This window comes from Homo sapiens, chromosome 7 (assembly GCF_000001405.40).
Source record: "Homo sapiens chromosome 7, GRCh38.p14 Primary Assembly".
Lineage (NCBI taxonomy): Eukaryota > Metazoa > Chordata > Mammalia > Primates > Hominidae > Homo > Homo sapiens.
In genome coordinates this window covers 149,520,795-149,535,984 of record NC_000007.14, presented here as the reverse complement: position 1 = coordinate 149,535,984, position 15,190 = coordinate 149,520,795, and the positions used below count along the sequence as shown (strand labels likewise).

The window sequence follows — 15,190 nt, the reverse complement described above, 5'->3', positions numbered from 1 at the left end:
TCATTTTAATATTTTACATTTCCAAAAAATAAGTATGAGGAGATAAACCTAAAAATAAATATAAATAAAACCAATAAATCTAATGATATATTACATTGATTCAATGCCTACAAAGAATTAAAAAACTCTCAGTGGTGTATATTCTAAGGAAAAAAGTAAGATATTGGAAAAAATTAGATATTGAACTTAAGTTAATTTGGTATAGCTTACAAAACCTGTATGTTGATATTTGGGGGTGCTAGTGTTCCATTTGTGGAAGACAGGAAATATAAACATGGGATGGAGGTGTTGCAGTCTTGTTGTCTGAGGTATTACCCGAGCTCTTTGTCTAATGACCAAGAAAATTAAGGACCATGGACACCAAAGGTGAAGCTGGGGCAAAGGTTTAATAAGCAAAATAGGAAAGCTCTTTGCAGTAGAAGGGGGACCTGAGAGGGTTGCCTTTTTTTCAGTTGAATACAGGTGCTTTTATTAAAAAAAAAAAAAAAAAAAAAAAAAAAAAAAAAAAAAAAAAAAAAACCACTTCCCCTATCTGTGTAGCTGTCTGTGTAATTGCCCTTACCGGTGCAGCTGCAGGCATGTCTCAGGCAAGCCTCCTTACCATGCAAGTTTCCACGGATCCCACTGTGTGCATGTTCATAGAAGAGGAGGAAACTTTTCCCTGGGAGCCCACCAATTACACAGAGAACAAAGTTGTTTCTATATTGGGCCTTGCTCCCTTATCTGTGCAGCTGCAGCTTGATTTTTCAGGTTTTTTTCTCTGTTTAAAAGAATTCTACTGAGGACTGGCCTTAACTGTCTGCTTACCTGGGTGTTTTTTTCCTTTTTCTGCTCTCATTTCCCCACTCAGGACTGGAGACCCCAGCTGCTGTTAGGGAGGTTGGGTGATGATCTTTCTAGCTAATTCTGGCTAAATAGTGGCATCGTGTGGGGGACTATAACAGTCAAGGCTCCTCTTGAGGTTAATTTAAGGGTCCCCAGAAGAATGGTGTGGCCATGTGTGGTTCCATTTACATTACCATTTGAAGTTCAATGGCCTCTAAGTGAGAAGAAACAGTTTGGATTATTAGAGGACATGTATCAAAACAAAACAAGGTGGGGGTAAGGACAGCTCAAAAATCCCAAGGCTGTCAACACTCCCAAGTAACTGGTGGCTATAGTTATGCCTGTTAAGATTTGGGTGCATGGGACTTGACTTTGGTTAGGTTTCTTGGTCTTATTCTCCCAAACAAACAAACCTCTGAGTTATGGGCACCCTATCTATTCCCATCACCTGGTAGGATTTGCAGGATAATTGCTCAGAATTAAAATATTGATCCAGATTATTTATATTCCCTATCCCTTTTGTTTCTTCTGAGCTGCAGCCATAGATCACTGGTTGGTTTACAGGAATAAGCAAGGTGAATCTATAATGTAGACAAAAACTTAAAAACAACTGAGATTAGAATTAATTGACAAGTGTATATGTCTTGAAACATAATTTCTCTCTGTTCAGTCCTCATTTTTTCTAAAACAAATCATGATAAGGCTTAGTTGTTTGCAAAATAAACTTTAGTTTTATACTTGGCCTGATTATTTGTGTAAAGTGCAGCAAGAATACCAATCCTTCACAGAGGCTTTTAAATTGGCCTTGATGGAACTGTGCTCCACAAAAAAATCTAAGATGAGACCTTTTAAACCTGAGCCCACCCATGGGTTTGTACCCTTAAATATCTATGAGTTGGGTAAATTCCTCTCTTCTTGAGGTCCCAAGAATATGGGGCTCCTGGGCCTGTTAGAAAGTGACATTCTTTACTCACCACAGGTTAGGAACCCTGTACAGGGACTAGGTAGACAAGGTATGAGGTTAGTTTTTCCAAGGGGCTTTTATTGACTCTGCAAGTGAAGCTTGATTCCTTAAAGGGAAGCACACCATTCTGGTCAAAGCCTTGGTAAAATGACCAGTATCTCCAGTTGTGTCTTGTTGCAAAAGAAAATGGATTCTTATTGCACTGATGCAAATAAGTATATTGCCATAATTTAGGAATACTCACAAATAGTTTCCAAATTCTGGAGATGCCAGGCAGAGATAAACAAACATGCTTCGAATTTTGTTTACAGGAATATACCTTACTCAATTATTGAAGGCAGTAAATAGCTCAAGGTAAGTTTTCTTGACTGAAAAACAAAACAAGGATCAGTAACGTTTTAAGCAAAAAGGCTAAAAAGGTTACTTCAGTTTTCTGTTAGTTCAGTCCATTTTGTTAACTCTTGTTAATATTCATGAACATTTCAGCTCATCATTAGTCCTGTACATTTTTACTTTATTCCAATGTTTATAATCTCCAAAGTTATCAGATACTTGCATTTGAGAGCACCTGTCAGAGTCCTATAGCTGATTATAACCATCTTTTGAAGAGGATCAAAACAAGACATCAATTGTCTGTGAAATGACGAAATGTCCTGGTTATTTACAGTTAAGAACATGATTGACAAATTTGGTTATTTCTGTGGTTTTCAATAACTTAACATAATATCCTTAATTATAGTTGGTAGCATATATTCAGACATTATAATTTTTAAAATCCCATACAATGTTGGAATATATGTTGATATTATTTACTAAAATATAACCTGAAGAATACTAAACATCATTTTGACAATCCCAGCTGGGCACGGTGGCTCACGCCTGTAATCCCAGCACTTTGGGAGGTCAAGGCAGATGGATCACCTGAGGTCAGGAGTTCAAGACCAGCCTGACCAACATGGAGAAACCCCGTCTGTACTAAAAATACAAAACTAGCCAGGAGTGGTGGTGCATGCCTGTAATTCCAGCTACTTGGGAGGCTGAGGCAGGAGAATTGCTTGAACCTGGGAGGTGGAGGTTGCAGTGAGCCGAAGTCGTGCCATTGCACTCCAGCCTGGGCAACAAGAGTGAAACTGTGTCTCAAAAAAAAAGACAATTCTACGTACCCAGACATGACAAATAATCCTGTTTACCTCCCTGTTAGGTGCTCCAGGGGCCCTCTGTAGCATCCAAAAGCTTAGGGGTTAGAAAAGACAACCTTGAAACTGAAGTTTGATTTTGGGAAGCCTGTTAAATATGTTAGAGGTTCAAAGCACTTGACATTACAAAATACAATTCCAGATGACTATAAGCTATTTATTTTAGTCAAAATGATGACTGTAATCTAAAACAACCCTTTAACCCTAGACAGAAATTTACATTTCCATACCTTCTTATAATCTTTTACTAAAAAACAGTTTACTGTTTTTACATACATTGCATGTAAATCTATTTTCAGTAATCTTAATTACATGTTATAATGGTAACTCTTAGCAATTTTTAACTTTAATGTAAAACCTGGTAAGTTGTTTTAATTATATACTAGGCACAGATAAAGTCTGACCCCTTCCAGCATAGTTAAGGGCATGGTAAATTTGATATGTACCCAGGGCTTATTAATTGTGAAGCAGCCAAGTCAAATAGTTCTCAAAGACCAAAGAAGCAGTTTACAACCTTAAAACATTTAGCAAACCTAGTATCTGACCTGCATAATTTAAACCACATATTTACATATGAAGACATTTGTATTTTACTAATAGTCTTTAAGACTGGTCTTATTTCTTAAAGATTAAAGTGACATAACTAAATGCATTATAGCTTTTATTTTTCCTTCAAAAAATATTTGATCTAAGTGCTTATTTTTTAAGCCAATTGATTAGAGCTTTTTAAATATAAACATTATACACATAATACATATGACTACACAGACAGACAGAAGATGCAGCAGTTATAAGGGTTTTTTGTTTGTTTGTTTATCAATCTCCATATTAGATTACCAGCCTCAGGGTGAAGCCCTTAAAGAGAAGGGCTAGGAAATCATGCAGTTTCTAGGGCCTAATAAACAGGCATACCTGGTATACAAAAACAGATTTTGAGAGGAATCTATTTACCTCCAATTCCTGGTGTTCCATGAGGAAAATAGAGATTTCTCCCAAAATGGAATCCATGGCGTCTTTTCTTTTTTCCAAGGAGTCCCAGGCCATTAGAAGTTGTCCTAGGGCTTTTTATGCATGCATTAAGAGTGGCAAGAAACAGTGGAGAAAAGTAATTTAGTTGACTGAGGGAAAAAAAAAGAAGAAAAGAAAACCTTTCCAGAAAAACAAGATCCAAGAAGAAAAAAACATAAAGCCCTTTTTTTTTTTTTTGACAGAAAGTCTTGCTGTCTCACCTAGGCTGGAGGGCAGTGGTGCAATCTTGGCTCAGTGCAATCCCCGCTCCCAAGTTCAAGTGATTCTCCTGCCTCAGCATCCTGAGTAGCTGGGACTACAGGCACACGCTACCATGCCCAGCTAATTTTTTTGGCATTTTTGGTAGAGACAAGGTTTTGTCACGTTGGCCAGGGTAATCTCAAACTCCTGGCCTCAGGCAATCCACCCGCCTTGGCATCTCAATGTGTTGGGATTACAGGTGTGAGCCACCGTGCCCAGCCAAGGCTTTTTAAAATATACCTATAACTTGGATATCTACTTTTTTTGGGGGGGGTGGGGGGCAGAGTCTCGCTCTGTCTCCCAGGCTGGAGTGCAGTGGCGTGATCTTGGCTTACTGCAAGCTCCACCTCCCAGGCTCATGTCATTCTCCTGCCTCAGCTTCCTGTGTAGCTGGGACTACAGGCTCCTGCCACTATGCCCGGCTAATTTTTTTTGTTTTTTTTTTTTAGTAGAGACAGTTTTACCATGTTAGCCAGGATGGTCTCGTTCTCCTCACCTCATGATCTGCCCACCTCAGCCTCCCAAGGATATCCACTTTTAATTAAGCTGAGTACTCTTTAAGAACATCCTTTTTCATTAATTAAAACTTTGCAGAGAATATAAACAGTGATCCTTATCTCTCCTTTTACCAGTTTGCACAGGGAGAAAGAAGACAAAAGTCCGACTGGTTAAAAAAAAAAAAAAAACTTTTATCCTTTTGCTGGCATGTCCGGCTTCTGGATTTTCTAGGGGAGTTTCTTTGAGGTCCTCCTTGGCTGCATAAGTTTGCACCACTACCTGTTCACAGTCATGTTCAGGTTCTCCAGTTTCCTTTGGGAGGAAAGTGGCTGGGTTCAGACAAGGACAGGTTTTTAACTGGACTGTGATCCCTCTAATAGCAGAGCCTGATATTTGAGGAGGCAATTATTTGTTAGCCAGAGACTTCCCTTAGAGAACAGCAATTCTAACCACATTATGTTGGGTATATACATTTATTCCCAATGGTTAACTTGGTGACTTCTGGCACCAGCAAAGCCACCACAGCAACTGCTCAGAAGCAGGCTGGCCATCCTTTAGCCACCAAGTCTAGATCCTTGCTTAGGTAACCTACTGGCTGTTAAGCTGGACCTTGAGCCTGAGTCAAAACTTCCATGGCCATTCCCTTCCTTTTTGATACACAGAGACCGAATGCCTTCCCTATGGGAAGACTGTGGGCTGATGGTTTACCTAAGGTTTGTTTTAACTGGTTAAAGGCTTCTTTAGCCCCAAGTTTCCAAGTCAGGTAGTGAATCTCAGCTGCTTCAGTTTCTTTTATAAGACAGTATAAAAGGTGAGCTATCTCACCATACCCAGGTATCCATAGTTTGCAAAATCCAGTAATGCCTAAGAATCCCCTCAGGTGTTTAAGAATTTGGGGTAGGGGAAAGGAGAAAATGGGCCTAATCTTTTCCTCACCTAGTGCTCTGGTCCCTTCTGATAAGACTAGTCCTAGGTACTTTACTGAAATCTGAGTCTTAGATATTGAAACCCTATATCTCCTTTTAGCTAAGAAATTGAGGACAGCCTCAGTGCCTTCCTGAGACTTTCTTGGTTGGGGCACAGAGGAGAATGTTATTGACATACTGCAACACTTCAACTTGACGGTCAGAAAAATCAGAGAGATCTTTGGACAGGGCCTGTTTTTGCAATTTCCTTGTGATATCAGGGGCTGCCTGAGTAATAAATATGTTATTTAAGATTAGGTGTCCTTCAGTTGAATTGGGAGACAGGGCGGTATGTTTCACTAACGTTTCTCTCAGCTTTTCCAGACAGGCTGAGGGATTTTCATCTAGTTTTGATCTATTATGGAAAGCTTGAGGTAGTTAATAGGTTTGGCTCTAGTCTTTTGCAAGTCTTCCAAAATACACATTTGAAAGAACTTCCCTCTCCATCTCTGATGCTATTATCATGGTCCCATTGAGGGTCCTCCAAAGGCATTACTACTCTCCCAATTGATTAAGGCTCTTCCCCTTCCCTGGCACTGTATGAGACAGAAAGTTTATCTCCAAATTTCTCTGTTGCTTGCAGGGCTTCCTGTTTCACAGCAGCAGTTAGGGTTTGATTTAGAGTAATATAACATCCTTCCAGGAGAGTGTAAATACTTGGGTTAAATCCTAGAAGACCTCTATAACATGAGTGAATTTGGGGCTTTCCCAGAGCGAACTTCAGGGTCTGAGGGTTAGAGGAGATCCAGGCTACACTCAAGTGGAGTGAAGGCTTGAAGATCTAGAAAGGGAGGGGGGGAAAGGTGTCCCTTAGTCTTCTCCCTCCCATTAGAGTGACCCAGGGTAGAGAGGAAGATAGAAAGGGTGTCTCCCTTCTCCTCTTTCCTTTTGTCTCCTCTGGGTCCCAGCAACCATCATAGGTGCTGCCCATTGATGCAAGCATGACCTTCGCCCATCGATCTGTAAGAGCTAGTCAGCAGGAGTAGTCATGCTTACCTACTTGATGCCTTAGCTCTCTGTCTGTCTCTGGGTTTCCCAAACCTACTCGACCCAAAAGGCTTCCAAGGTACCCCATGAGCCCAGGAGAGATTGTGCAGTAACTGGATTTGGGCAAGACTCTTTAATGGAGGGAGTGTCCTGACTCTATACCTGGCTTCTCTTACTATGGCTCTGATGGACTACTGAATTCACAGAGAATGGAACCAATGGATTTCTAAGCATAAAATCCCTTTTGTTTAAATGGCAATGTAGCTGGATGTAGAACAGGTGTCTCAAAAGAACATAAGGATTAAATGGCTGTCATGCCTTCTATGGGGACAGTACTAAGCTAGAATTTGTCTCTTTAGGGTGGTTTCCTCCCAACTATTGAAAGTGGAGTTTACCTGCCTATAAATAGGGCATGGGGTCTGACTACTGATAGAGGGATGCAGGAGGGAAAGGATTTGGGGAACTAGAGGTTTGGGACAAAGGGACGATAAATCCCCCTATGAAGAAAAATTCCATTTCACTAGGTGGCATGGCAGAGACTGAAATGTTTGGTTAAAACTTTGACTCCAAATTATTTCCAGGCAGAGGTTAGAGAGGTGTGAGGCTTGGTAGGCTGTCCCCACAATATGCCTACTGGCAGGAAAAAAATTGATTTGTCTCATGGAGGAACTTTTTGAATTCATTGGGCAGTGCTGAGTTCTTACATGGAGGAAAAAAAACAACCCAAATGGAGAAAAGAGTATTCACTCAGGGTGAAATATCCCCCTATACAGTGCGATGAATGACTACCACTGGTTGACAAAAAGGCCCTTACTTTTAGACTGAAATCTTGAAATCACCCCATCCCAAGAAAATCACAGAAGCAGCAATTCTTTGAGTTACATTCCTGGTTACTAAGACATTTGCTAACTTTACCCAACAAGATTATCTCCCCAGGCTGTAAAAACTCCCTTAATATAGCATACAAAAAAGGGATAGGAGACATGAAAGCTACAAAAAAGAAAGGAAGAAAATGTGATAAGAAAATCTGGAAGTCCTGGTGCCAATACCCTGATGGCCTGCTGAGGACTGGAGTTAGTCCAGGGGCCTTCAGGTAACACTGAGGTGTAGCCTTGGCAAGAAACCTTCAGTTGCCCCAGGACCTCCTTCCAGCCCCACGCAATTGCTAGGCCCTCCATGAAAGGAAACTGGATTGGAACAGAGCCAACATTCCCACTACCTGAGGGTGATCGGGGATTGACAAAGTCCTCTCCAGCATGTCTGTCCCCTTAGTCTTGTAAGGCTGGCAGCCACATTATTCATCTTTAACTGGCTGACAGGGTTCCAGTGTTTTGTTTAATTTTTAAAAACTGAGAATGAGAAGTCTCAGAAATGAAAGTAAAGAGTTGGAGGTCAGCTCCTGCTCACCATTCCAATATGTCGTTTCCTGGCCAACACGCCACAGTGTTGCAGTCTTGTTGTCTGAGGTATTACCCAAGCTCTTTGTCTCACAACCAAGAACATTAAGGAGTGTGGACACCAAGGGTGAGGTTGGAGCAAAAGTTTAATAAGCAAAAGAGGAAAGCTCTCCACAGCAGGGGGCCCAGAAGCATTGCCATTTTTTCAGTTGAATACAAAGGGTTTTTTAAGAAACTTTCCCTATCTGTGTAGCTGTCTGTGTAACTGCCCTTATCTGTGCAGCTGCAGCATGTCTCAGGTAAGCCTCCCCCAACATGCAAGTTTCCACGGAGCCCACCATTTGCATGTTCATAGAAAGGGAGGAAACCTTTTCTTGGGAGCCTGTTGATCATACAAAGAACAAAGGCATTTCTTTATTGGGGCTTGCTCCCATATCTGTGCAGCTGCAGCTTGATTTTTTTTTTTTTTTTTTTTTTTTGAGACGGAGTCTCACTCTGCTGCCCAGGCTGGAGTGCAGTGGTGCAATCTCAGCTCACTGCAAGCTCTGCCTCCCAGGTTCACGCCATTCTCCTGCCTTAGCCTCCTGAATAGCTGGGACTACAGGCACCCGCCACACCTGGCTAATTTTTTTGTATTTTCAGTAGAGACAGGGTTTCACCATGCTAGCCAGGATGGTCTTGATCTCCTGACCTTGTGATCCGCCTGCCTTGGCCTCCCAGAGTGCTGGGATTACAAGCATGATCCACCACGCCTGGCCTGCAGCTTTATTTTTCAGGCTGTTTCTCTGTTTGAAAAAATTCTACTTAGTACCTGCCTTAACTGTCAGCTCAACTGGGTTTTTTTCCTTTCTCCTCTCTCAGAGGGAGGCAAGGAAGTACCACAGTGTTGGACTGACATTGTAAGTAGTGGTGTAAATACACACACACACACACACACACACACACACAGAATTTCATAACTGCCTTCTGAAAGGGACCAGAAACAATCATTTAGTTGCATTGAGCACTCTTAATGCCCATAATTTAGAATTAAATTCCCTTAAGAGGAATCAGGAGACCAGACGTGGTGGCTCACGCCTGTAATCCCAGCACTTTGGGAGGCCAAGGCAGGTGGATCACGAGGTCAGGAGATCAAGACCATCCTGGCTAACATGGTGAAAACCTGTCTCTACTAAAAAAATAAATAAATAAATAAAAATTAGCCGGGTGTGGTGGCGGGCACCTGTAGTCCCAGCTACTCGGGAGGCAGAGGCGTGAACCCGGGAGGTGGAGCTTGCAGTGAGCCGAGATCACGCCACTGCACTTCAGCCTGGGTGACAGAGCGAGACTCTGAAAAAAAAAAAAGAAAAGAGAGAGAAAGAAAGAAAAGAAAGAAAAAGAAAAGAAAGGAAGGAAGGAAGGAGAAAGAAAAGAAAAAAAGAAAGAAAAAAGAAAAGAGAAAGAAAAAGAAAGAAAGAGAAAGAAAGAAAGGGAAGTCAGGAACTCCTGAAGAAATGTCTGATTCCAGGGCTGGACAGGAAACCTAAAAGGTAAACAATGGAACATCTTGTGCCAGAAGAAAGTGCTTAAAAACTGATAGAGTTATGTCAACAGAACACAGGAGCCAGCCTGAAGAGACTCACTCCTAGCTAAATTTAGGGCAATTTAAGCATTGCAACAAATAAAGATAGGAATATTTTATAGCTCATTAAAGAGTCTGTGAATCCATATTAGTAAATTTATTTTTTTATTTAATGTAAAGAGAGAAAATCTCTTCCTTACCAAAAAAATTAACTAACAAATATAGATGGAATGATGGAAATATAAAACATCATTTTATAAACATCATTGTAGTAATTGATTTGGGTAACAATCATTATCAGATGCTAAATTTGTTAGTTGAATATTGTTGGAGAACAGAATTTTTAAAAATATGTCAAACACCATTTAAGTTAAATAATCAAATTCAACTCCACCAGTCATGGGACAAACTGACTTCCTTGCCTCCTGATGTGATACACTGAGAAGAGCACAACCCCACCTCTGTAGTAATTTTACCAAAATATTGAACTTTATTTAAATAATGAGAAAACAATTAGACAAATCCTCTCCAAAGAAACCAATATACTAATTTTAGCATATTTTGGGCCTATTTTTGACTTTACATACTTTTATGTTTGTGAGATCCAGTCATGCTGCTGTATAGATATTGAATACAGGGACATTCTGCAAAACAGCTGGCTCAGGCTCCTCAAAAATGTCAACATCGTGAAAGAAAACAGAAGTCTAGAGAACTAGTCTAGATTAAAGTGATCTTAAAATGCATGGAAACCATATACAAACAAAAGCGTTGATTGGGTCCTGCATTAGAAATAAAAGACTGTCAATGATATTATTGGGATAATTAAGAAATATAGAATGTGCATTGCATAACAGCTGATTGTGTAATTCATAAACTTTCTGAGTATATTGTGATTATATAGGAGAATGCCTTTGTTCTTAGAAGATATATGTAGAAATATTTAGGGGTTCCAGGATTTCTCCAACTAACTTTCAAATGATTCAGAAAAAACATATGTATATCTATATGTACACACACACGTGTGTATATAGAAAGAAAGAGAAATAGCAAATGTAGCAAAATGTTAACAATTGGTGATCCTGGTAAAAAGTGTAAGGATTTTCGTTATACTATTTTTATAACTTTTCTACAGGTTTAAGATTTTCAAAATAAAAATAAAAAATTGTATTTTTATTTGTTTTTATTTATGTTTTCGAGACAGGGTCTTGTTCTGTTGCCTAGGCTAGAATGCAGTGGAGTGGTCACATCTCACTGCAGCCTTGACCTCCTAGCTCAAACAATCCTCCTGTCTCAGCCTCGTGAGTAGCTGAGACTATAGGTACACATCACCATGCCTGGCTAAATTTTTAAAAATTTTGTAGAGACGAGGGCTGACCATCTTGCACAGGCTGGTCTCAAATTCCTGAGCTTTAGCTATCCTCCCATCTCAGCATCCCAAAGTGTAGGGATTACAAGTATAAGCCATTGCACCTGGTCTAAAAATTATTTTTAAAACTAAAAACAGAAAAACCATTACCAGCACCCCAGAAACCACTCTTGTGCCTCCTCCCATTTATAATCTCTCTCTCCTAAAGTAACCACTGTTCTAACTTCTAACACTATTTTTGAATTTTATGTATCTTTTTCCTCATATTATTTTTGTGATATCCAGCCATACTAATGTATGTAAGAATGGTTGACTCATTTTGTTTGCTGTATAGTATCCTACTATGCAAATGCATCATGACTTATTCACCTAACATCCTGTTGAAGAGTGTTTGGGTTGTTGCCAACTTGTGGCTATTAGGAATATTAAGGCTATTCATAGCAGCTATTAATGTGTTCATATGTGTCTTTGAGAAACACATGTACACATTTCTATTAAATATATGCCTAGTAGTAGAATTGCTGGATCATAGATATGCAATTGTTCTGTTTTGGTAGTTAATAAAATACAATTTTCCAAAGTGGTTGTGTGTACCAATTTATGGGCCATTTGGATATGATTTTTCTATTCCAGTCTCATTTTTCTATTGGGTTTTCTGTCGTTTTTCTTAATGGCTTGTAGGTATTACCTTCATATTTGAATGTAAGTTTTCTCTTAATTATGTGCACTTCAAATATCTTTATTTATTTATTTACTGAGATGGAGTCTCACTCTGTCACCCAGGCTGGAGTACAGTGGCACAATCTCGGCTCACTGCAACCTCCACCTCCCGGGTTCAAGCGATTCTTCTGCATCAGCCTACTGAGTAGCTGGGACTACAGGCGTGTGCCACCATGCCTGGCTAATTTTTTGTATTTTTAGTAGAGACAAGGTTTCACCATGTTGGCCAGGTTGGTCTCGAACTCCTGACCTCGTGATCCGCCTGCCTCGGCCTCCCAAAGTGCTGGGATTACAGGCATGAGCCACTGCACCCAGCCCAAATATCTTCTTTGACCTTTAGCTTTCTGAGTGGTGTCCTTTAATGACCAGAATTCTTAATTATAATGGTCTCATGAATCAATCTTTTCATTTATGTTTAGTGTTTTTTATGTTCTCTTTAGTAAATCTTTACCTTTACACCAGGACACAAGGATATTATTTTATGCTTTCTTCCAGGAGCACATTGTTTTATTTTTTATATTCAAGCTACAATCTATTAGGAATCAATTTTATTGTACAGAGTGAAAGTCTAAACCTTTTTTCTATACAGTTATCTAGCTAACTCTGCATCAGTGACTGGAAGAACCATTCCTTCTCACCAAACTGCAGCACAAAGCTTGTTATAAATCAGGTGCCCACATAGGTGTGGGTCTGTGTCTGGACCTTTTCGTCTGTTCCACTGACCTATGTATTTACACAACCACCAATGCCACACCAATTATTGTAGTCTTAGTTACTATATAGAGTGTATCTAATAAACTCTTCCAACTTTGTTCTCCTTCTTCATGAGTGTGTTACTGTCCTTGGCCTTTGAAATGTCCATTAAAATTTTAGAATTAGCATGTCAATATCCACAAAAAGAATGTGATTTTGGTTGAAATCACTCTGAGTCTATAAAGATGAGGGAGCAACTGATATTGTTACCACACTTAGTCCATCATTCCACTAATTTAGTATATCCTATCATTTTTTTAAATAAAATATCATGTTCAATGACATTTTATAGTTTTCTGTGTAGAAATCTTGCACAACTTCACTTTCATTCCTCTGTAGTGGATTTTTATGTTGTAAATAGAATTGTTTGAAATTTTTCTAACTTTCATATTTCTGTCATACAGAAATAGGACTAATTTTTGTGGCTTCATCTTGTATCTAATGACCTGCTATGTTCACTTATTAATTCTGATAGTTGATCTGTATATTATTTTGGATTTTCTGCATGCACAATATCATCTATGAATAATGACAATCTTATTTCTTCTATTCTTATCATTCTTGCTTTACATTCCCTTTTGAATATAAATCGTAACCCCAGGTATCAGTTCCTTTTTCCCATTCTCAAAGAAAACCTTTCCAATATTTCCTCCTTGAATGTGGTACTTACTATCGAAGTTTTATAACACCCTTTATCAGACTAATAATGTTGCCTTCAATGGTAGGCTGAGTAATGGCCCCAAAAAATATCAGGTCCTAATCTCTGGAACCTCTAACTGTCACCTTAACACAGATAACGGGTCTTTGCAAATGTGATTAAGTTAAAGATCTTGAGATGGGGAGATTATTCTAGGTTATTTGGATAGACCCTAAATGCAATAAATCAAGAGTATCTGTATAAAAGACAGGCAAAGAGAGATTTACAGAGAAGAAGGCAATATGACCACAGAGGCTAAGATTGAAGGGATGTGAGCACAAGCCAAGAAATGCCAACAGCCACCAGAAGCTAAAAGAAGCAAAGAGTGGTCTTTCCCCTAGGGACTATGGTGGGAGTGCAGCCTGCTGACTTGATTTAGGCCTGGTGAAACTCATTTTGGACTTCTGGCCTACAGAACCTGTAAAATAATAAATGTATACTTTTAAGCCACCTAGTCTGGTTATTTGTCACAGCAGCCATAGGAAACTACAACTTCTATCCATATTATGCTAATAGTTTTTACTCATAAACAGATGTTGAGTTTTTCAAATGCTGTTTGTGCATTGATTAAGATGATTTTGTGATTCTTCTCCTTTATTCTGTTAATGTAATGAATTATATTGATTTTCAAATGTTAACCTTTAATTCCTGGAATAAATCTGATCAGTCATAATGCTTTATCCTTTTAAATATTGTTGGATTCATCTGTTAATATTTTGTTTAGGATATTTTCATCTAGTTCACAAGATAGATTTGCCTACAATTTTCTTCTCTTGTCTTTATCAGGTTTTAATATCAATGTATTTTGGCCTTATATAATATGTTAAGAAGTATGTCGTATGTTTCTAATTCCCTGAAAGGTTGTACATAAGATTAATATTAGTTCTTCCTTACATATTTAGAAGAATTCACCAGTGAAGCCATCTGAGAATCAAGTTTTCTTTCTGGGAAGGCTTTTAGTAGAGAACTTATTTAACAGATATAAGTGAATTCAATTTTTTATTTCTTCTTGGTCAGTTTTAATAAATTATGTTGTTAGGAATTTGAAAATTCCTTGAAAATTACATCTATTTTTTCAGATGTATTGGCATCAACTTGTTCATAAAATCCCTCTTTTATCTCTTTGTTGTCTCCAGGATCTGAAGTGCTCTTCCATTTTATTATTACTGATATTGGCTATATATGCCTTGTTTTTTTCTCTCTTTATCAGTCTTGCTAATGACTTATCAATTTTGTTAGTCTTTTTCACTGATGAACATTGGCTTTGTTGATTCTATCTATAAATGTTTTGTTTCTGTTCTTATCTTCATTATTTATTTACCTTCTAAATCTTTTTTACAGATATATAATAGTTGTACATATTTTGGGGTACATGTGATATTTTGACACCTATATATAATGTATAATGATCAAACCTGGGTAATTTCACTATCCATCGCCTCAAACACTTATCTTGGGAACATTACAATTCTTCTCTCATAGCTATTTTGAAATCTATAATAATTATTGTTTATTATAGTTTCCCTATTGTACTATCAGACACTAGATCTTATTCTTTTGATCTAAGTGTATTTTTATACTCCTTAACAAACTTCTATTCAGCCTTCCCTTCCTTCATCCCTCCCTGGCCTCTGGTCAGCACCACCCTACTCTCTACCTCCATGAGATTCACTATTTTAGCTCCCACATATGAGTGAGAAGATGCAATATTTGTCTTTCTGTGCTTGGCTTATTTTACTTAACATAATGACCTCCAGTTCCATCCATCCTGCTGCAAATGATAGGATTTTATTCTTTTTTTATGGCTGAATAATAATTACGTTGTGTATATAGACCACATTTTCTTTATCCATTCATATGTTAATGGCCACTTAGGTTGATTCCATATCTTGGCTATTGTGAATTTTGCTGCAATAAAGATAAGAATGCGGGTATCTCTTCAATATACTGATATCCCTTCTTTTAGATATATATACAGAAGTGGGATTGCTG

General features: G+C 38.6%; 2 annotated features.

The window, feature by feature from the left end:
* Nucleotides 583–642: an enhancer, noted in NCBI's record as "active region_26816". NCBI's record gives its function as "activates an Ori minimal core promoter by ATAC-STARR-seq in GM12878 lymphoblastoid cells {active_cell/tissue: GM12878}" and the evidence as "EXISTENCE:reporter gene assay evidence [ECO:0000049][PMID:35858748]".
* Nucleotides 803–992: an enhancer, noted in NCBI's record as "active region_26815". NCBI's record gives its function as "activates an Ori minimal core promoter by ATAC-STARR-seq in GM12878 lymphoblastoid cells {active_cell/tissue: GM12878}" and the evidence as "EXISTENCE:reporter gene assay evidence [ECO:0000049][PMID:35858748]".